The sequence below is a fragment of the Homo sapiens genome, chromosome 5 (assembly GCF_000001405.40).
Source record: "Homo sapiens chromosome 5, GRCh38.p14 Primary Assembly".
In the NCBI taxonomy this organism is placed as follows: Eukaryota; Metazoa; Chordata; class Mammalia; order Primates; family Hominidae; genus Homo; species Homo sapiens.
Window position 1 is genome coordinate 171,603,707 of NC_000005.10, and position 23,058 is coordinate 171,626,764.

General features: G+C 47.4%; 3 annotated features.

Annotated features, from left to right (window-relative positions):
• Nucleotides 12,207–13,192: an enhancer, noted in NCBI's record as "H3K4me1 hESC enhancer chr5:171042917-171043902 (GRCh37/hg19 assembly coordinates)". NCBI's record gives its function as "activates a minimal SCP1, AML or CMV promoter by ChIP-STARR-seq in naive H9 embryonic stem cells {active_cell/tissue: H9 hESC(naive)}" and the evidence as "EXISTENCE:reporter gene assay evidence [ECO:0000049][PMID:30033119]".
• Nucleotides 15,178–15,680: an enhancer, noted in NCBI's record as "H3K4me1 hESC enhancer chr5:171045888-171046390 (GRCh37/hg19 assembly coordinates)". NCBI's record gives its function as "activates a minimal SCP1, AML or CMV promoter by ChIP-STARR-seq in naive H9 embryonic stem cells {active_cell/tissue: H9 hESC(naive)}" and the evidence as "EXISTENCE:reporter gene assay evidence [ECO:0000049][PMID:30033119]".
• Nucleotides 19,545–20,365: an enhancer, noted in NCBI's record as "OCT4-NANOG-H3K27ac-H3K4me1 hESC enhancer chr5:171050255-171051075 (GRCh37/hg19 assembly coordinates)". NCBI's record gives its function as "activates a minimal SCP1, AML or CMV promoter by ChIP-STARR-seq in naive and primed H9 embryonic stem cells {active_cell/tissue: H9 hESC(naive and primed)}" and the evidence as "EXISTENCE:reporter gene assay evidence [ECO:0000049][PMID:30033119]".

A 23,058-nucleotide genomic window follows, 5' to 3' on the forward strand; every position in this document is an offset into this window, starting at 1 on the left:
ACTTCTGTGTTTGTAGTTTCCTTGCTTTTGAATCATATATTTATAGTTTTTCATATCCATATGTATGCCTTAACAATATGTTGTTTAGTTTTTCTTGTTACAAAAAGTGTGTTCCAGAAATCTCAGACTTGCTTTTTCTCCTTTAACGTATGTTTCTAAAATTTATCCATGTTGCTGCATGTAGCTGTAGTGTATTGATTTTAACTGTTGTAAAATAACCATCTGTGTATACACCACAATGTATTTTCCCATTCTCCTATGGATAGGCATTTAGATTCTCCTAACGAGCTTCTGTTGGGTCTATATCTAGGATAGGAATTACTGGATTTTAGGTTATGCAAAGTGCAGTTTATAAAATGGAGCAAAATTGATTTCCAAATTCATTGTACCAATCCTTACTCTCACCAGCAATATATAAGAGATCCTGTTGAACCATCTTATCTACAGAATCTGGTATTGTCAAGTTTCTTCAGTTTGGCAAATCCAGGTAGCCTTGATGTACATTTTCCTGTAACTAATGAGATTGAACATCTCTCCATATTTTATTAACCAAATATATTTCCTCCTTTTTGAAATACCTTTTCCTGTCTTTTGCCCATTTGTCTAGTGATTTGCTTTCTTCTTCTGATGATATTGACAATTGTGTCTTCTCCTCTCCCCTTTTGTTCCTCATCTGTCTGGCTAGAAGTTTATTGATTTTATTGATCTTTTCAAAGAACTATGTTTGCTTCTATTGATTTTTCTCTACTGCTTGTTTTCTATTTATTTTTTCCTTCATTTTATTCATTTCATTCCTTCTGTATACTTTGTGCTTAATGTGCTTGTTGTTTTGTTTTGTTTTTGAGACAGAGTCTTGCTCTGTTGCCCAGGCTAGAATACAGTGACATGATCACAGCTCAGTGTAGCTTCAACCTCCTGGGCTCAAGTAATCCTTCCACCTCAGCTTCCTAAGTAGCTGGGACTACAGGTGTGTGCCACAATGCCCAGTTGTTTTTGTTTTTGTTTTTTGTTTTTGTTAGAGACAGGATTTCACCATGTTGCCCATGCTGGTCTCAAACTTCTTGGCTCAAGTGATCTGCCTGAGACAGTCTCCCAAAGTACTGGGATTGCAGGTGTGAGCCACCACACCCAGCCTCCTGCTCTTCTTTTTCTCGTTTCTTAAGGTGAAACTCCTGTCATGATTTGGAACCGCTACTCTTGATTTGGAACTGCTACTCTTTTCTAATAATGCTAATGCTGTAAATTTCCCTCTAATTGCTGCTTTAGCTGTATCCACAAATTTTGATATGTTGTATTTTCCTTTTTTTTTTTTTTCTGAGACAGTGTTTCACTCTTGTTGCCCAGGCTGAAGTGCAATGGTGTGATCTCGGCTCTCTGCAACCTCTGCCTCCTGGGTTCAAGTGATTCTTCTGCCTCAGCCTCCCGAGTAGCTGGGATGACAGGCATGCGCCACCATGCCCGGCTAATTTTGTATTTTTAGTAGAGATGGGGTTTCTCCATGTTGGTCAGGCTGATCTCGAACTCCCAACCTCAGGTGATCCACCCACCTTGGCCTCCCAAAGTGCTGGGATTACAGGTGTGAGCCACCGTGCCTGGTCATATTTTCCTTTTTAATCAGCTCAAAAGATTTTCTTTCTCTGGTGATTACTTCTTTGACCCCTGGGTTATTTAGAAATATGTTTAATTTTGAAATATTGAAGAATTTTCTAGATCTTTTTCTGTTATACCTTTGTATTCTAATTCTTTTGTGGCCAGGGAACATACTTTTTAAATATATTTCTACTTTTTATTTTGAACTAATTTTAGGCTTACAAAAAAGTGGCAAAATTTGTACAGAGAAATTTTATACATTCCTCATTCAGCTTTCCTTAAGGATAACATTTTATATAACTACAGTACAATTGTCAGAACCAAGAAACTAACATTGGTACAATACTTTTAAGTAAATACCACATTTTAATTTTGCCAGTTTTTTTGTTAAATCATTTTTCCACCTCAGGATCTCAGTCCAGGGTCCCATGTTACATTTAGTTGTTTTTCTGAGCTCCCCTTAATCTCTAATAATTCCTCAGTCTTTCCTTATTTGTCATGACCTGTCTACTTTGAGAGATTATTGATTGGTTATTTTATCAAATTCCCCAGATTTATCAAATCTGGGCTTGTCTGATATTTTTTGATTGGAGGTTTTTGTCTTTTTGACAGGAATACACAGAAGTTGGATCCTACTTCGTGCATGATATTACGGAGTTTATGATGTTGACATGTCTTCATACTGATGATCTTGATCACCCCCCTCTGCCTAGTTTTTTACCATAAAGAGAATATATTTTTCTTTATAAATAATAAATGTCATGGGCGAAATAGTTTGAGACTATGCAAATTTGTTTTTCCTACACTTTCATCATTAATTTTAGAACCCATCAGTCGATTTTTGTCTGTGACAATTACTACTGTGGTGTTTGTCTCATGGTACTTTTCTACTTCCCTCTTACCTTCTGCATTTACTCATTATAATTCTACTATATGAAAGAGCTGTGCCTTCTCTCCTGTTATTTATTGAATCAAGTACTTACTTATATCAATATGGACTCAATGAATATTGATTGTATAGGTTATAATCCACTACTTTCATTATTTCATTGTTTCATTGCTCAGATTGCCTCAGCTTTGGACATCAGGAGCTCTTCAGTTTGGCTCCTGTTTTTCTTTCAACAAGACTACATCTTTTAAATTTTTTGCCAACAAAAGATGTTCCAGGTTCATCTTATATTTTCTCTGTCTTAGTCCTGGACTCAATCATCCACTTATCCAAATAACCCTGGTTCCTTTTATTGGAGAATGATGTTTAGAAGCCAAGATCTGGGTGATAGTTGTGCTCATTAATGCTGGGGTGTTATTGCTTCTAGGCCCTCTAGTGGACAAAGCTACTAACACACCTGTACACACCAAACACACACACACACACACATACACACACACAACTTTCTCTCTTTCTCTTCCATCTATCCATGCCTTAAGAACCATGTCTTTATACTGATATTTCAGATTAAAATTAAACACCATAGGATTCTTTATTTATAATTTCTTTCTCAAGTGGCAAGAAATCTGGTTCTTTTTATAATCTTATACATTTATATTTTCATAACCAGTTATTCTCTAATTCATTTGCACAAAAATTTGCAAAGTTATCATGTATATGTTTAAAATTTGTATTTGATTCTATGTTTATCTTTCTCCTTGTCATTTCACATTTTGTATATTTGTGCTTTCTTCTTTTTATCCTTGATTAAATTAGCTAGTATTTTGTCCTTTTTGTTGATTTTTTAAACCAAGATTTTAATTTATTAATTAGATCTTTATTGTCTTCCTCATTAGTCTCTGCTTTTATCATGTTATTCCTATTCTTTTGCTTTATTTTGGTTTGCTTTGCTTTTGTTGTTGTTCTAGTTTTTTGAGTGAGCAAGTTAACTAACTGAATTTGTTTTTCATGTTTATTGAGTAAAGTATTAAGGTAATGAGTTTTTCTCTGATCACTGTTTTAAATGCATCCCATAGATTCTGATATGGATTGTTTTCATGTCATTAATTTTTAAAAATTCTGTTATTTCAGTTTGTATTTCCCTTTTACCTAGGAGTTGTTTAATAGGCTTTAAAATTTCCAGGTAGAAGGACCTGTATTTTTTTGATATTATTAAGATTTCATTGTGACCAGAGAGTATTGTTTGTATAATCATTTTTATTTCTAATGAAAGTTACTGACGTTTTCTTCATGATCCTTTATTGTGAATCTGCTGTGGACATTTAAGACTTCTCTGTTATCAATCTATGTCTATAAAAGCTATCCTATTACGTTCAGATTTTCTCTCCCTCCCTGCCCCATCATCTGTCCTGTAGTGAAAATTATTATTATTGGTGTGTTAAAGATTATTGGTGTGTTTCTATCTTCTGGTATCTGTTGACTTGTTTCTTCATGGAGATGGTTGTAGTGTTATTTGGTGCATAAATATTAATAAGTTATATTTTTATTCTAGGTTGTGGCTTTTAGCATTAAGAAGTATCCTTCTTTGTCATGTTTAATGCTCTTTGGCTTGAATTCTACCTTGCCTAGTATCAGGATCACTTTTTCCACTCATTTGATTTTGGTTTTTTTTTTCCACTTGTTACATATAATTTATTTTTAGCCTTTCCAAATCGCTTTATTTTTAGCCTTTCTGAATCCCTTTAATTTAGATTTATCTCTTTTATACAGCACATAGTTAATTTTGTTTTGTGAGCCAACTTCTAAATCTTTTTTTAAAGGTGAGCTAAGCCCATTCACATTTATTGTTATAACTGACAGGTTTGATCTCAACTGTATCATAATATTTATGATAATGCATATTTTGTTAATTTGCTGTTTTTCTTAAAGGATAGTCTTTATGTGGTTTAAATCCACTTGAGTTTTTGACACTTGTTTTACGGGCCAGCATATGGTTTATCTTGTTTTTTGTAATTGGTTTGTAAGAGCTCTTTACATATTAAGGATAGAGATCCTATGTCAAATGTGTTGCAAATCATTCCTGTTTGTTTCTTTCTCTATTTTTATAGCACTTCTCCTTGCAGAACAGGGCTAACTCATAGGCAGTGCTGCCAGAGTTGGCCCTTTCTGTTTCTAGTGGATGTAAAGGGTAATTGTCTGAAAAGAGACAGTTAAGGAAAAGCAACATATTAAAAAGAGTGAATATTTCCCTGTTATTCACATAGACTACTTGAATCTACTCTACCTGCGACTGTCTTCATTTAGATCCTCATAATTTCTTTCCTGGATTATTAGGCAACTCAGTTAATGATTTGTCACCAAAAGTCCTTGTTTGTAGACTATACGCTACCTTCAAGAGTTTTTCTTAAAATTATTTGGTTTTGTTATTTATAAATCACATAACACATTTATAAATATGATTTACAAATTTCCTGACTCTACAAGATAGATAGATATCAATTATTCAAATAACAAAATGTGGCTGGTGCTCAGCTCTCATATGGACAAATGTTAATAAATTTTCATGATCCAGTTGATGTGTCTGAGTGGTGATAGAGTATCATGTATGATACAGTCACTTTATGTTATGAAATGATTTATCCAGACAGGATGATCAAATACCCTGTGCATCTCCTAAAAGTTATAAGGGAAGTGGGAGTAATTAACATCAACAGCACGTCTCGTCTCTCTCCTCCCAACCCCAGCTTGTCACACTCCTGTCACACTGCATTCAAAGCTCTTTAATCACCTCAGGCTCTCTCAAACCTCCCTGCCTCAACCCTTTACAAAACCCTTTCCTCAACCCAATCCCTTGTCTTAGCTAGCAATTTCCAACTCATTCATCAAGAGCCTGCTTAGCTGTCATTTCTTGGTTATGGTGGCGGAACGTGGGGTCCTCCAAGGTGTGCGAGTGTTAACTGTCTGGGAGGAGTAGCACTCCTGCACCGCCCGTTCTAGAATGGCTCCTTCCCATCTTTCAGGATTCTTCATCCTACAAGTCACGCCAGCCAGGAAGCCTTCCCTGGACCCTTGACGTCTCAGCCAGGAGTCTATTCTGTGTTCTGGATCATCCTTTATTTTCATTTTTATTCTCCTACAGGGTCATTGCCTGTCTCCCAGGCAACTTCCCCCATTAGAAAGGGGGCTTTCTGGAGCAGGAACCATGTCTTTCTTGTTCACTACTGGGTCTCTAGATCTTAGCACAGTGCCTGACGCTGAAGGCAGAAGAAAGATTCCTTGAAAGATAAATTCAGGACTGTGGCTGGTGCTCAGCCTACATGTACTACATGTAGTACATGTAGGCATTTCACATTAATCAAGGTGATTATTTAAGCCTCAGTTCCTATGTCTACAAATAGAGAAAGGGTTATGGTGAGAATTACATAAAACCACATTTGCAAAATGCTTACCAGTGAGCTCAGCACTTAGTGCTCAATAAATGATAACAATGACCATCACTACTCAGGAATTACCAACGAGCCCCTTCTGTTGCAAAGGCCATCTCTGAAATGTAGTTTGAGAAAGTAACTAAAAGACTATAAGCATAAAATTAAGGTTCTTTGAGAAAATAACCCATATCAGTCATCCAGAGTTACAGCCATATTAACAGATTCACAAGCTCTGGCCAGTAGTACTGATGCTTTACTAATTGGAAAAATTAATATTCCAGGAATGTTCTAGACACCTCACTTTGAAGAAACACTAAAACTTATACTTGAAAAAATATGATCACGAGTGGTCTTGGCAGAGTTCCAAAGCAAATGTGGAAATTGAAGAATTCGAAGCACTATTATCACTCTGAGAAAGCAGCTGGCTTCTCAAATATGAACCTACCACTTGGTGGAAGTAAAGCTCATTTGTGTGAGTGACAAGTGCAAAGGTCATATCATACCCCATGCTAAAACCTTCCAGTGTCTTCACATCACACTTAGAAAAGGCCCAGCTCTTCACCACAGGCCTCTAAACCTTGGTGATATGGCCTCTGCCAGCTTCTCTGAACTCATCTACATTCCTGCCACAAGTTCCTTCTAATGCATCTCACTCCTCCTGGCCCCAGGGCCTTTGCACTTGCTGCCTAGAGTGCTCCTCCTTCAGGTCTTTGCACAACTGCTCCTTAGCATTTTGGTCTTCTTACCTCCAATGTCTCTTCTTCTTCTTCTTCTTTTTTTTTTTTTTTTGAGATGGAGCCTTGTTCTATTGCCCAGGCTGGAGTATAGTGGCGTGATCTCGGCTCACTACAACCTTCGCCTCCTGGGTTGAAGCAACTCCCCTGTCTCAGCCTCCTGAATAGCTGAGATTACAGGTGTGTGCCACCATGCTCGGCTAATTTTTGTAATTTTAGTAGAGATGAGGTTGCGCCATGTTGGCAAGGCTGGTCTCGAACTCCTGACCTCAGGTGATCCACCTCCTCGGCCTCCCAAAGTGCTGGGATTTCAGGTATGAGCCACCACATCTGGCCCAGTGTCACTTCTTCTAGGGAACCTCTGGCCTGCCCTAAGTGCACTCATTCCAAACGCTGCCTCTGTCCCTTTGGCACTTGTCACATCTAAAATAAAGCTATTATCTAAATATTTGTTGTTTGTCTCTCTGTGAGGAAGTAGACATTGTCTATCTTGTTTACCATGTCTGTACCTAGAACAATGCTTGGCATATAGTTGGTGCTCGGTAAATACTTGTTAACAGGTGCTGCGTCTGGCTGCGTGGACAGTCTCAGGTGTATTTTTCTCCAAGGCACTTGGTCATCAGACTGAGTCCTGCCCTGATCAGATTACACCCAGCTCATTGAAGCTATGAAAATCCCCAAGCAGTAATAACAATGGTCAACGAATATCTGCTTGTTTGTGTACTTCATCTTGTTCTGGAAAGGAGCTGTGGTAGAGCAGTGCACACGAGTTAAAGAAACACCATGAGCAGACATTTAGGACCAGAAAAAGGGCCATTTGCCCAGGAGGCCAACGTGGGAGAAAGTGAAAGGTATTCAGGACATGAAGTCTGAAGAGCCACAATGACTGCACTCTTACTGTAAACTTGTTCCTGAGCTTCTTGGCAGGTATTTCTCTAACTCTCTATTGTCCACAAAGACAAACCATTCCCTTTTTCCAAGAGAATCACAGAGTTCTTATTTGTCACCTGGGGCAGGTAACAAACCCAATGAAAGATGAAGTGGATGATGCCTTTACACCATATCCCTTCCATCCACTCAGCAACTGGTTCCATAAAATTGTTTCCTACAAAGCCTGGAAACGTGGCAGGACACCAAAGCACACTGACGCCATGAATCACGGCAGCTGACTCCGCTCCAATAGCTACTCGCACAGCTTTTTCACCTTATGTGGATCATTTCTCCTTTCTGAGTGGTAGCTTTCTCATCTGAGGAGATTCATGGTATTTTTTCCTGAATCATATTGACACATCACACATCATGGAAAGACAAGAGAAACATTATTATTATCTTTATCACGCAGACCGTGTTCGGAGGGTGAGCAGCTGGAGGAGTATTCTTCCTTGCAGTTTGTCCAAGACATGGGCAAACTTTTGATGAACCCACAGGAGACCTGTCTTCTGCTGGCTAATTTACTGGAACGCTGTTGGGAAATAGGAACCACAGGAAGACAAGGCTTGATTTCCCAGGACGAGCGGGTGAGGGAGGTCTCCCCTGGACTTGGAGAAGAAAGGGTAATTATGTTTCATCTTCTCTTAGGGCAAATTGCTGCTGTGGACCTGCCCACATGGGGGCTGAGAGCCCCGGCAGCTCCAAGGCCGACTGTCATTTTCCCAGGTGCGAGGGTATCTTTAGTAAGTGCTCCTGGGAAACTGCCACTCACACTCTGCCTGGCCTTGTAAAGGATTCCAGAAGGAAGAACCAGAGAAGGGACAGAGCAAGGAGGAGCTGGCTTTTTGTATGGCTGCTGATGGCCCCCTTCACTTAACCCCGGTCGGCAGAGAGCCTGGGCAGCCGCTGGGAGGTCTGCATCTGGCTCTCTTGGTGTCTGGGGTAGAGTTCCCATCCCACCAGGTTGGGGCCCTGTCACTGGCCAGAGCCTGCTGGAGCCTTGGATTACAGGGCAGCAGGAGACGTGCAGAGAAGCACACATCTATTGAGCAGCCACCATGTACCATTTTCCATGGCCCATGCGCTTTCTTCCCATTCCCCAGAGCACCCACGAAGCTGGAACTATCTGACAGATGAGAACATGGAGACTTAGAGAAGGGAAGTGATTTGTTCAGTCAAACAGCCAGCAAGCAGTGGAGCTGGGATTTGAACCCAACTTACAGATTTCAAAAAGCTGTGCAGTTTTGTGGTGAGGGCTAAGAAGGGAGAGTAATAGGAGGTGGAGAAGGAGGAGCCAGGCAGGTAAATGAAAAAGGAAACGGGTTCCTTCTCCGTGAAACGGAGCTAGACGAGCAGCTGATTCCAGAGGTTGTGACGATTCTACAGAAATGCATGGTTGGGGTTCTCAGCCCAGCGACCTCCACGGCTCTTGCCTGTCAGCCCACCCTCTGGCTTCCAGGGTCTTCCCTAGGGGTCCCTAGTTTCTTGCTTCCCATCTAGAAGCACCCCCTCCTTCCCCAAGTGTCACCTCCCTCTCCCCGTCCCCCACCCCAGCCCAGACCCTGGACTAATGCATTGCAGCTTGAGCTTGCAGCCAGCCTGCTGGCTCCTCTGCTCTGCTCGTTCCCCGCCCAGCTCAGCCATCACTTCCAATCACTCCAGTACAAAACATTCTGCCAGATGCAGCCTGCCGACATGGTCTTGCCTGGCCCTTGGTCACCAGCACCTGGTTGTGAGCTCAGACCTGTGGGGGTGGATGCACCACAGACTCCAAGGTCAATGGCTCACCAAACCCTCTCCCTCCATGACCCTGGGGCTTTTGAAAAGCACCAACCTGTGCACTGTACGTTTCCTCACCACCAGTATCCCCCATTGCTCCTTTCCCAGTCACAAGGGAAAACCACTGTGGACACTAGCCACCACATGCCCCTCAGGGTATCACTGTTTCTTTATGGGGAAGGAACTGCCATTTCTTGAGCATCTCTGTGCACCAGGTCCTCTGTGGACATTTCCTCATAACACCTAGGGGAAGAAGATACTCTTTTTTTTTTTTTTGGAGACAGAGTCTTGCTCTGTCGCCCAGGCTGGAGTGCAGCGGTGCGATCTCGGCTCACTGCAACCTCCACCTCCAGGGTTCAAGCAATTTTCCTGCATCAGCCTCCTAAGAGGCTGGGATGATAGGCGCCCACCACCATGCCTGGCTAATTTTTGTATTTTTAATAGAAACAGGGTTTCACCATGTTGGCCAGGCTGGTCTCGAACTCCTGACCTCAAATGATCCACCTACGTCAGCCTCCCAAAGTGCTGGGATTACAGGCATGAGCCACCGCACCCAGCCAGAAGGTACTCTTATCCCCAGGTTACAAATGGGAAGACTGAGGCACAGAGAGGGCATGTGTCTCTTCAAGGACACAGAGCATTCCTCCTCTCTTGCTCTCACTCTGTATCTATCTATCCACCCACCATAAGCATCTTCCATGGCCAGGCACTGCATGGATGATGCACTGGGTTGAATTGTGTCCCCCCAGAAGAGTCCTAACTCCTGATACCTGTGACTGTGGCCTCATTTGGAAATAGAGTCTCTGCAGATATAATCAAACTAAGATGAGGTCATATGAGATCAGGGTGGGCCTTAATCCAGTGACTGCTGTCTTTATAAGAGGGAAATTTGGACACAGACAAACACAGAGGGAAGAAGCCATATGTAGGCAGAGGTGGGAACTGGAGTGATGCAGCTACAAGCCAAGGAATGCCAAGGACTGCCAGCAGCCGCAGGAAGCTAGGAGAGCAAGGAAGAATTCTTCCCTAGGGCCTTTGGAGGGAACCCTGCTGAGACCTTGATTTTGAACTTCTGACCTCCTCCAGAACTGTTGCTTTAAGCCACCTCTTTGTGGTAATTTGTAATGGCAGCCCCAGGAACCTAATACAGATGATATTTAATCCCTGCTACAACCTTGTGAAATGGGAACAATTATTTTTTACTTAACAAACGAGAAAACTGAGGTTGGAAAGGGGGAAATTTGTGGCTGAAGGTCCCACAGCCAGCTGAGAGCAGGTCCACAATTTAAACCCAGGTCCAGCAAACCCCCAAACCTGCACCCCTTACCAGTAATGGATCCTCAAACCTGGATGCACTCCATCAATACCCAGAGAGTTAGGGAAGGTACTGATTCCAGGGCTTTGTCTCTGAAGATGCCCGTGCCATTTGTCTGGGCTGGGGCCCTGAACTCTGCATTTTAACAGCACCCCTGGAGGTTTTGAAGCAGCCGTTAGGGAAATGTTTCTTACCACACTCCTGTCACCCAAAGAAGTGTGTCTGCTGGGGCCCAGGAGTCAGGTCACTTGATGGTTTGTCACAAAGAGGGAGAAGTGGGGGTGAGGTGGAGAGGTGAGTCAGAGGCAGCAGTGGGAGGCTGGGGCCAAGTGGGGAGGACACACCCTCCCTATCTGCCCAGCGAAGCTCAGCGCACCTGTTCCACATCTCACGGAACTCACATCCAGCCACCCCGGCCCTGCCCTTACATCATCCTGGGACCTCAAGCCCTGGGACTTTTGTCTTCCTGGGCCTCCTAGAGCCCCTGAATATTAGATGGGGAATTGCTCATGGGGTGTCTCATCCAGCCACCCCACCCCACTCCCACCCACCACCGCCACTTTATGGCTCAGAGAACTGAGGCCCTTAGAGGGAAAGGGTCTTGTCCGGAACCTACCCGACCAACCCCTGACAAAGCTTTGCTCCAGATCCTTTTCTCCTGACTTCCAGAACATACCGTGTGAAGCCAGCAGAAAGCAGCCGTGCACAGAAGTCAGGCCAAAAGGCAGCAGACAAAGAGCCTCAGGAGGGGTGGGCAGATAAGGGGAGGGATGAGAGGGGAGGGCTTACACAAGCTGAGCGCTTCGTGTGCAGCACCGCTAAAGGCCGCATGTCATCGCCACACTTTATTATATGATGATCGTGTGTGTCCATTTGACAGATGCGGAAACAAAGCCTTAGGGGGTGTAAAGCCAGCTGCCCAGGCTGTGACCACCAGCTCACACGTGCCTGAGCTAGGAGGCACACCCAGCCCTGCTCGCCTCTGAAGCCCGACACCCTTCCCTTTGCTGCCCGGCAGCTCCTCCAACCCCTCAGCCCTGTTCCCAGGCCACACCCTCCCACACAGGAATCCTGCCTGCAAACCAAGCGTGAGTGCCATTGGCGAGAGGCACAGGCCTCGGAGCGATTCGTTGACAGCAAGTGCTCAGCTGGGCTGCACAGAGAGCCATCCAGCGGGTGTTGGCAGCAGCAGCCCTCCACCCCCCACCACCAATATTTCAAAGGAAAGATTGAAGCCACATGTTTGGAGGCCATAAGCTGATTGCTAGAAGGACGTTTCATATAAACAGCATGAGGCAGGGCCTGTCACTTGGACTCACCTTTGGTTCCCAACCCTGGCTATAGCTCTTAAAGCCAGCTCCCGCCAACTCCACCCTCTCTTCAAACTCTAGACCCAGAACCCTGAGGGTCCCGAGCCCAGGCTCACTGGGAAAGGGTTAAAGCAGAAGGCAGCAGGTGCAAGGGCAGAGAAGAGACAAGTTTTCCTGGGAATGAGGGTGGGTGCATGGGAAGAGAGAAACGAGGTGCAGTTCTGGCCAGGCCAGCGGAGCTCAGGGAAGGGCTGTGTTCTAAGCAGCCTGCGCCCTCCTCCCTCCCGCTGAGTGCGGAGTCTGGGGTCTTGCTTCCATTCAACCCTTTATCCCAGGCAAACTTTCTTCCCTCTGTGGCTGTCAGAGTCCTCTTCTGAGACAGGGGGGCTCTGGTGGTGGGGGTCTCTCCCAGCTGCGAGTTCTTCAGGTCTTGGAGACCCAGCCAGCTGCCCCAGGCAGGGGCTGAGCCTGGAAAGCAGCCCCCTCAGAGACACAGGTGGGGCCAGGGGAGGAGGTGGCGGGGGTGGGGGATGGGGGGTGCAGTCGGGGGATGGAGACCGCTGGGCCACACGGGCTGAGGGCTTAGGGTTACCAGAGCCAGGGCAGCACACGTGTGTTTCAAATTTTCTTTCAAGTCTTCTCGAGGCCGGCTTGCTCTCATCCCTCCCCCCGCCCCCTGGCTCCGAGGCTGTAATCAGTTTGGATGGAGCACAGCAGACACGCTGTGGGGGAGGGGCGTGTGGGGAGCTGTCGGGGCTGAGAATCATTTTAGGATTTTGATACCTGCCAGCAGCTCGCAGGCCCATCTGAGGCAGGGGACATGAAGTCCTGGACACTGGCTATGCCCAGACTGACCCAAGTGCTCGCCAGTGGCCTGTTGATGGGGATCTGAAGGGGAGAGGAACCAGTCCTGGATGTATGTAGAAGGCACTGGAATCTGACAGCTCAGGCTCCTGTCCTGGCTCTGGCCCTTGCAGGCTGAGCGGACTTGGCTGTGTCATTCTACTTTTCTGAGCCTCAGTGGCCACGTCTGTGAAACAGGGCTTCAATGTCTATCATGGCTCTAAAAGTTAAATAAAATATGCCTTCAGAAAGCTTAGTGCAGATGGGTGATCTGGCAGGGACTCCTTTGCCCTCTGGAGAAATAGGAGGAACGGATGAAGCAGGGTCCCTTGCACAGAGACTGGAGGCTGCAAAGTCAAGCCTTGGACTGCTGAGGCCATTAGCACAGCATAAATGAGGACTAAATAGCAAGTCACATTTCCTGCGTGGGTCCCAGTCTGCAGCTATCCGTGAGGGGTGACAAAGAGGCTTTGCTTGGCCAGGCTTCAGTCAGGCTCCAGAACCTTCTCCTAACCCCATGCGTGCACTTCCTTGTAAAATCTAGTTTTAGCACCTTGACATAGGATCACCCTCATATCCGATCAGGTTCCTCATTCTCTACCATGCCCCAGGGGATGTCTGGTCACCCTGGTCTGCCTTCAGCAAGAATCCCCTTCACCCCTGATGTTTCCTCTTGGGCCATTTTCCATCCCATGACCCCCTCCCTGCTCCTCGGCTATAAACTCCCACCTGCCTGGGCTGTATTCGGAGTTGAGCCCAGTTCTGTGCTGAGGTCTCTGTTCCGCTATTGCGATAGTCTGAATAAAATCTGTCTGCACGGCTTTACCGTCCAGCTCTGGTTTTCTTTGACAGAGGGCGGTAGGCATCTATGTGAGGCAACAGCCACCGCCCTGTTCCCGAAGCCAAGTCCACACTGGACCTGTCCTCTCCTGACCACGCGTCGCTCAGCAGCTGCTCAGAGGCATCTGGGCTGCTTGCTTTGACCTCTAACACCACCTGCATTTGAGGTGTGGGGCTTAATTATTCTCCTTGTCCCTCCATCTGGGGCTGCCACTCTAGATAACTCCAGGTCCCAGGCCACCCACTCTCAGCCTTTGTAAGGTCACAGGGTCCCCGGAGAACCAGATGAAAATGACTCTCCCTGTCCCAGGGAAAATGCATTTCCACCTAACATTCTGCCACGGGCCCCTTGGAGTTCCTAAATTAAGAAGATCCCTGCTTGGGGTTTTAAACTCCATTCACCACACCTGCCAGAGGAAACCAGCCCTCAGGCTGAGAACCCCTGCTCTGAAGCTTGCTCAAGGGGAGATGGAAGGCTCTTGCAGCCCCATGGTTGGACCCTGGCAAAGCGGGCTCAGGAACTTTGATGTTTAGCCCCTCAAAAGGGCAAGCACCACCTGGTCCTTCCCCAGGGCTACCCACGTAGAAGGCCTTTCCCTCCCCAGACCTCAGAGGACACCATCGATTCTGCACTTCCGAACCAGAGGATGTGCTGGTTCCTGTCCACCCTCGCTCACAGGTGGGGAAACCAAGGCCGGGTCATGGGGGCTTTTTCCAGCTCACCCACAGGTTTTAGAGTCTGAGGCCCAGAGCACCCAGTGGACCTCGACCAGGGGCCCTGGCTGACGTTGGGTCAGCCAGCTGGGCCATGGAGAGGTAGGGGAGTCCGCGTTCCCTCCCCGACCCCCAGCTTTTGTTAGCAACCGATGGAAACTGGCAACTCGGAGAGCAGAGGTTCCCGGCTTGCCAGATCGTAGCTAGGAGAACAGATGGCCAATTCATCCCACCAAACTTGGCACCTCCAACAAAAGAAACAATATGTATTTGGCTCCCTAATCTTTTCCTCAGGTTCCCAGGCAGGTGACTGGAAAGTCTGATGACAAGAAAGCGTCGACTCACCTCTCTCAGGGCGCAAACCACAAGGCAGGCCTGGCTATTGTTCCACTGCCCCCTCCACCCCATCCTGCTCTCCGCTCTCTGCTCTCCTCCCTCCTCCTCCCCTTTCCTGGGGCTGCCCAGGCCTATCTGCAGCAGCTCAGGGTCTCCCCCAGAGCCAGTCCCTGGTGAAGGTGGGCTGGTATGCGGGCACAGGGAGGTGCCCATTCTCTGAGTATCATACCCCTTCTCTCCTTCCACCCTCACAACAGCCCTATGGGGATAGATACTGTTATTGTCCCACTGAGCAGATGAGAAAACTGAGGGATTCACCAGTAGGCTGCATAGGCTTTCTGCACGCGGCAGAGCTAAGAATGTCCCTTGGGGCCAGGGCACCACCTGACAAGCACTGCCCACTTGCCAGATCTCAGAGAGGTGGCATGGCCTAGGGTGTAGACCTGGGCCCCCTCCTCACCAGGCTCTGCTCCTCTGGAGGGGCTTTGGTGACCGGGGGAGGGAAACACTCCCATTGAGAAGTCTGAAGGTGCGACCAAGGTTTCCTGCAGCACCATGAATTTGGGAAGGAAGGGGGCTCCTTTGTAAGCCCTGGAGATACACAACTACAGCTGTCCATTATTGAGCACCTACTGCATACTTGGCACTTGATAGGTGCTCCATGTGGGCTCCCCTTAATGGGCTCTGTTTTGTATGTGCTGTGACCCTAGTTGTACAGATGAAAAATTGGAGACACAGAAAAGTGATGGTTTGTGAAAGTCACACGACCAGTTAAGAGCCTAAGCTGGGACTCTTTCCACTGCCTCAGCTATTTCTCTCTGTCCTCCACCCCCAGCCCCAGGGAGGGTGTTAATGAGGCCTGCACAGGAGAGAGGCAGGGGTGAGGAGCTGTGCCCGCAGGTGCCTGCAGGTCTTCCTGCAGTGGCCAGCCCAGGGCCTGGCGCCACTCCTCCCCTGCCTGTCTGCTCTCCCCAGCATGTGATGGTGGCTGATACCCCCTGGGGTGGGGTGGGGGGGCCCTGCACGAGTCTGGGCCCTGCCACGACGCCACCCTGGAGACCCAGAGTCTGTCTCCCAAGAACTGCAGTCCTTCCCATTCTGGGATCCCTGGGCGGGGTAGGTGGGGCTTGGGGAATACTCAGAACTGGCTCAAAGGACTGGGAAGCTCCTCGAGGGCCCCAGTGGGTTGGGGGGGAAACGTAAGCTGCAAGACCTCAGAGGCCTGGTATTCTATTGTCTTTTTCTGTCTTTGTGCCCAGCTGGTCCTTTCACTCTTTTCCTCTCTGTCTCTGGGTGGCTCAGGGGTCATAGTTTGTGATGTGTTGGCTAAAGTAAGAATGAGAAGCCAAGAGATCCCATTTTAGCCTCACTTATGCTGGGTGACCCTAGGGTGTTCTTCCCCCTCTCTGGGCCTCCAGCTGCTGGGCCACAGCTTAGAGCCCCTCAGGGCCCTTAGGCCCTGATGCCCAGGCCATCCCAGGGCAGTGAAGAGCTCAGAAGACAATGTTTGACTGTTTTCTTCATACAAGGAACATTTGAGAAGCACTTCCTGGCTCTCGATGGAAAGAGATTTAAAGAGGAAAATAAAGCAAGCATGGAAGTACCTCTTATTGACAAGCCCAGGCCTTGTTAGCTTAGCGTCTGCTCCTGCTCTGCTTCTGTCCCTCTCTGTGACTTGGGAGCCATTTCTCAAGCCCCCAGCCCTTTCCCTCACGATCTTCCTCTTCAAGTTCCTGCTCAGGAAAGTGTGCTTCGAAATGTGGGCACAGGGGAGAGTCAAAGTGAGAAGGTTGGCAAAGATCCATAGGAAGACCCCAGAAAGTGGCCAAGCTCCTACAAAAACATCTCACCACCACCGCTGCCACCATCTCGTCCATCACCGCTATCACCACCATCATCACCACTTCCAGCATTATCACCACTACCTCCGCCATCTCCTATGTATTACTACTATTGTCAATAGTAGTATATAATAAAAGCAACAACGAATTCTGTTGAATGCTTACCCAATGATATGCATCATACTAACTTAAATACTCTGTCCGGCTGGGCGCGGTGGCTCAAGCATGTAATCCCAGCATTTTGGGAGGCTGAGGTGGGCAGATCTTTTGAGGGCAGTTCAAAACCAGCCTGGCCAACATGGTGAAACCCTGTCTCTACTAAAAATACAGAAAATTAGCTGGCCGTGGTGGTGGGCACCTGTAATCCCAGCTACTTGGGAGGCTGAGGCAGAATTGCTTGAGCCTGGGTGGTGGAGGTTGCAGTGAGCAGGTATTGCGCCATTGCACTCCGGCCTGGGCAACAGAGCAAGACTCCGTCTCAGTAAAAAAAAAAATCTGTCCAAGTCACACATGTAGTGCCTTAGTCTGGGTTCTCCAGAAGGCAACCTTGAAACAAGGACGCAAATGCAAGTAATTTATTTGGGAGATGAAATAACAAAGTGGTATGATATCAAGCAAGTGACAACTGTGGAAAAATGGAGCTTAATCTTGCTGGGAACTCCAGGCACCAGTAAAGAACACCCACCTCAGAGTCATCCCCCCCAAGGACAACGAAGCTGGGGTATTTATACACCAACTCTGGCTAGCCGTTGTTTGGGGGCTGCCTCCAAGGGGTATTAATGCCCCATCACCTCCAGCCTTCTACACATAGAGACAGACAAGGGTCAGCTGCAGAGGAAGCCCTCAGGCAAAAAGATTTAGGTTCTGGTAGTTGGAACTCAGACCTATGTGCATGGAGATGGTAAGGACTGGGAGGATGTGGGAAGAAAAATGAAGTATCTGCTACTGGTAGTATGTGGTGACATAAGGATTCGAATCCTGGTCTTTTTTATTTTGGTGTCTATGAACAGATCAGCATATGGCTGGCTGGCTGAATGGATGAACAAACAGATAGGCAGATGGGTAGATATATGAACAGATGGAAGGTGGACGAGCAGATGATTGGACAGGTAGGTGTTCAAAAAATGGATGGTTAGATGGATGAGCAGTGGATGAATGGATGGATGTCTGAGTGGGTAGGTGGATGGACAAATATAAAATGAATGAGTAAATAGATGGAGAATGAGTAAGTCAGTGGAAGGATGGATGGATGGCTGAAAATTTTAGGGGATGGGTAAATGGGTAGATTGTTTAAGAATTGTATCTGTGACTGGATGGCTGGATAGAAAGATGAGTAGACAGAGGAGAGGTAAGTATACAGGAAGTAGGATGGGCAGGAAGTGGGTTGGAGGATGGATGATCAGGTTTGGAATCAGAGAAGGGCCATGGCTAAGTAAAACAGTGCCTCAACAGTGATCTTGAATGAAGAGAGCTCAGCTAATGTCACCCCCATCATACCTCACCTCTTACTGCTCCAGGAAAACGCTAGTCTCTAAGACTCAGAGGCATCTCAGCTGTGGCTTAATGTTGATGACCAATCCCATCAGGAATTAAATGGGGTCCAGGGAAGATCCAGGGTGGCTGTAGCAGAGGGCATCTGTTGGAGAAGCCTGTGAGATGGAACTGGAAGAGTAGGATGAAGCCCACTGGGTCTTCCACCTGGAATGTTGCTGCCCTGCCCAGAGCTGGCTGGGCATTTGTCCAGGAGACACCATCATAGGGCTGGCTCTGGCCACTCTGCCCTGTGGTGGGATGCTGAACATATTCAGGCTTGCCTCATCACCCAAGCAAGGCAATGGCTGTAGAAGGCAGCTCTCACAGTGGGAACAGCACTGGCTCAGGAGGGCTAGGAAAGGAAAGGAGGCTGACATCAGGACGGGAAGCCCTGCCATGTTGGCAAAGCCAAGAGAAGCCCAGGAACACCCGGCTCCAGCCCAAGCACAGCTGATGGCCCAGCTCTGCCAAGTTTCACTGCCTGGGGCACATTTTTATGACAGAGGAATAATTAGAGGCAGGCCTCCTATTCCTGGCCTTTTCCTGGTGCTGTGTGTGAGTACACATTGCACACTTGTGCATGCTCACACACACACATAGGTTGTATGGGTGAACATGGATGTCATAGTGGGTTTCTGTTGTTTGCCTGTGTGTATGTGTTAAGGTTTGAGTATATACGCTAGGATATTTCATACGTGTGAGTTTGTATGTGACCACATGCTTGTGTGTATATGAGAACATGTTTGAATGTGGGTAGATGTGCTTATGTGTATGTGAGCACATTACTGTTCACGTGCTTGCACATGCATGAGCATATGTGCATTTGCATTAGCATGTTGTGTGTAAAGGTATTCGCTTCTGTGTATTGGTGCATATACTTACTGTTTGCATGTGTGGGAACTTGTTTGTGTAAGTGTATGTGTGTGTATGCGTGTGCACACGTGCATGTTCAGGTGGATCTGAGTGCTTGTCGAGGGATGGAGTTCATGGAATGATGGGACTCACATACTCCAGACCCAGCCTCACCTTTTATGATCTACCCTCCACCCTCGACCTCACTCTTTCACACAAACTGCAGGAGCCAAACAACTAGTAGCTACACCAACACTCTAGGCTGTTTCAGGCCTCCGTGATTTTGCTTGTGCCGCCTGGAACACCGTACTTTCCCTTTCTCCTTGGTAAAGCTTTTGTTCATCTTCCAGGTCCAGGTTTCATACCCTCTGTGCTATCTTCCTGGGTACCACAGACTCTATCCTCTGAGCTCCCTTGCTCCCTCTCAGACAGCCGTCTCTTAAGCCATGAGGTATTCTTTGTTCTTCCTGTAGACTGGGATTTGCTTGAGGGCAGGATCTATATGTAATTCCTTTCTGGAAAACCAGGGATTGAAACAGGATCTGGCATGCAATGGGCTGGATGGGTGAATGGAGAAATAGATGAATGACAGATGGATGGACAAACAGATGGAAGGAAGGATGGATGGATAGATGGATGGATGGATGGTTGGATGGATGGATGGATGGATGGATGGATGGATGGATGGATGGATGGATGGACAGATGGATTGGTTGGTAGATGTGTGGATAGATGGATGGGTGAACAAGCGAGTAGATGGATGAGTAAATGGCTAAATCTGGTGCTTTTCTTCCAGAATCCTGGATTCTGAAGGGAGGCTTTGCAGCCCTTCCTCGTGGATCACTTGCTCTGGTACAGAAGAAACAGTCTCTTTGCTTGCAGAGGAAGGCTGCAACCTCAGAGCCTGCCTGCTTTCTCCCCGCTCAGCCCTGGCTCTCAGGAGGGCTGGCTCCAGATTGGCCACCTACCTTACTGAGGAGAGATTAGGTCTGAAGAGGCCTTGCTGAGTGGCTTAAGTTAGCCCCTGTTTGTGTTCCTGGGCTTTCAAAGGCTGGGGAGAAGACAGAGGAGGGGCCTGACTTCAGGCCCCACGGCTAAGTGGGGAGGGATTGTGTATCCTCCAGGCCTGAACTGCAGGCAGCTCAAAGCAGGACCCTAGGAGTTTTGAGACAGGAAAATGGTGTTTTGTCTTGTTAATGATTCACTTGGCTTTGAACTGGAGAGTAGTCAGGTGTCCCCAGACGGCGGCTTTTGAGCTGGTCTAGGGGAGGGGGCAGGGCGTACTCAGGCCCCGGATTACAGAGGCCTTCCCGGGGGAAGGGGGCCTTTGATGGGGCCGGGTCTGTTGTCCGGAGTCTGCTTTGCTGGTGGCTGGAGCCCCCTAATGAGGGGGAAAGGGCTCCGTTTGGAGGCATTCCCCTGGCCTCCCTTGGGCAGCAGGCGGAGACCTCCTTTGATGTCGTAGTCCTTAAGCCAAGTGGGGACTAATTGCCACAAGGTACAGAATGTTCTGGTTGCTTGGGGGGTCTGCAGCCTGCTCACAATGCCACAGCCACCCTGGGGTGGGGGAAAAGGCAGACACTCTCCTGATGTGAGACAACTCAGGGGCATTTGTTGTGTTTTTATTTTTCCTTCATGCACAGAGCCACAGACAGAATGGGAAACCCACTACACACTGCACACTACACACACACACACACCTTACTCCACTGCAAGTTTGTAAACAGTATTATGCTTGAAAGCATACGTTTTTTAAATCAAAGAGTCAATGAGGTGGGAGGAATAATGGCAACGAGAAAAAAAAGCAGACGTTGACAGGCTGGCGCCAGACAGATTTGGGTTCAAGACTCAGCTTTGCCACTCACACTTTGCTGGGGCAAGTCACTGGACTTTCCAGGCACCAGAACGCTCTGCAGATGCAAGAGCTCATGCCTGACCTGGAGTAGGTGCTTCTGTTTTTGTCTGTTGACCTTCTATTGCTGAGGCAACTGCATGCTTGAAACAGTTCACTAAAAACACAGGTGTGTGGAACTGGCCATTCCACATGGTGTGCAGGCAAGAGGAAAACCTGTCAGGAAACGTCAGATCATTCTCATTTGGGCAAAGAGCAGGGAGAGGATGGTTTCCTTTGAATTTTAATATTTGTGCCCACATGGATTCCATCTCAAAGGAAGAAGATCTTGTTTTCCCTGGGCTGTGCTCACTCCATACTCCTCTCTAGATCTCTAGATCTCTGTGGACTCTAGAGTCAGAGCAATTATTATTATTGAAAGAAAAAGTTACAGTCAATTATTGTGTTTATACATGATATCAGGCACGGGGCTGGGTGATCTGACTACATTATTCCTGGACTTCACAGTGACACTCTCAAAGAGTTTGTAACTCATTTTACAGATTGGGAAACCAAGATTCAGAGAGACAAATGACTTGCCCAAGAACATCCTACGTGGAAATGGGGGAGGCAGCTTTCTGCCTGGCCTGGCTCCAGAGCCTAGGTCCTCCCAAGCCCACCCCAGAGGAATGAACTGAACAAGCTTCTGGTAGCTTCATCTCCCCATCTGGTCACCAGGAATAATAATGGGATGTCCTGCTGGGAGGCAGAGCCTCTGCAAAGGTACCCAGAGGGGAACCCTGTAGACGTGGCAGGGACCTGGAACACTTCTGCTGCCTCCCTTCCACCCTCATCACCTGCTTCCCCCAACAACACCCCCGCCCCACCCCCCACAGATATTCCCTACCCCCTCCCCCACCACATCCACTATCCGGAACCTGGAGAAAGGGAGAGCTGGGGAAATGGGGGTAGTGATGTCCATCAAGTTGTTCCTCCAGACTGTGGTGCCCCTTCTTTGTGGTTCCATTCTGACCTTTGGCCTCTGGATAGGGACCCTCCTGCCGGCCCCTACCAGTGTCAAAAACCACCAGGAGAAGCTTCCAGGATGGAGAAAAGAGAAGGACCTGTCTCTCTGGCTGTCCCTCAGTAAGCAGCAGAAGAGAAATAGCTGGACCCTGATGTTCCATAAACACAAGCCGGTGGCGAGCCCAGTGAGGAAGGCTGTGGGAGAGGAAGCGGGAGCAGAGAGGGCAACACCCCACAATCTGGATATGGCAACCCTTAGTTACACGCGAGACGGCTCTGAGAGGTGAGGCAGTGCCACGGATGAGCTGCATAGCAGGAACCCAGAGCCAGCTTGGGCTGACTTTGGACACGAGGCTAAGCCCAGGACCTGGGAATGAGGAAGCGGCTGAGAATGAGCCTCCAATGGGGCTTGTGGTCATTGCCAACAGTGTGGTCCTGAGGACCCCAGCTGAGAGGAGGTGCCCCCAAAGGGCTGTCATGAGACAGACACCGCAACTGTCCCTGGGAAGGGAGGGTCTGTGGCTGTCCTACTTGTTCCCTGTCTTGGGGGAGAGAATTGGGGGTGTCCCTGGATGAGCGGAGAGCCCCTCCGGAAGCAGAGGCACCATCGGGACAGAGGAAAATCTAAGAAGCTCTGGCACAGTTCCTGCTTCCACTACCTTCACCTTTCTTCTTCTTCTTAGAAAATATCAATGTGGAGACAGCTTTATTGTTTTAGAGCAGTAATACATTCTCCTTTTTTTTTGTAATGTCAAAATACAGGTAGGCAAAAAAAGAGACAATAAAAATGCCCAGAGAAGGTCACTGTCCCTCAGGCTCACTTGGTGTATATATACCTTGTGGAACGGCGATTGCTTCTCCCCTGCTTAACACATTGTGAGCACGTTTCCGTGTATACACACCTCTATCGTGATTTTAAATGCGTCCATAACATTCCAAGGATCATCACAGTTTTTTAAACCAATGCCCTAGTGTTGAGCATTTAGGTTGTTTCCAGTATCTCACGGTGAGACGTCTTTCTACTCCTGAGACTCCCTCCCGAGCAGTGGTGTTGCTGTGTTAAAGAGCATGAGCATTTTGTAAGTCTTTGGTGGCCAAAGTGTGCCCTGGGAAGATCTGTCACTCTACCACCCCAGAAAGTATCCAGAGTGCTGTTCCTTCTCACTGTGTTCAAAGCTGGATATGAGTGATCACTTTTTAATCTTCGGTGACCCGATAAGTGAAAAGAAAATCTTGTTTCCACGTGAATGTCTTTGACTACTGCCTC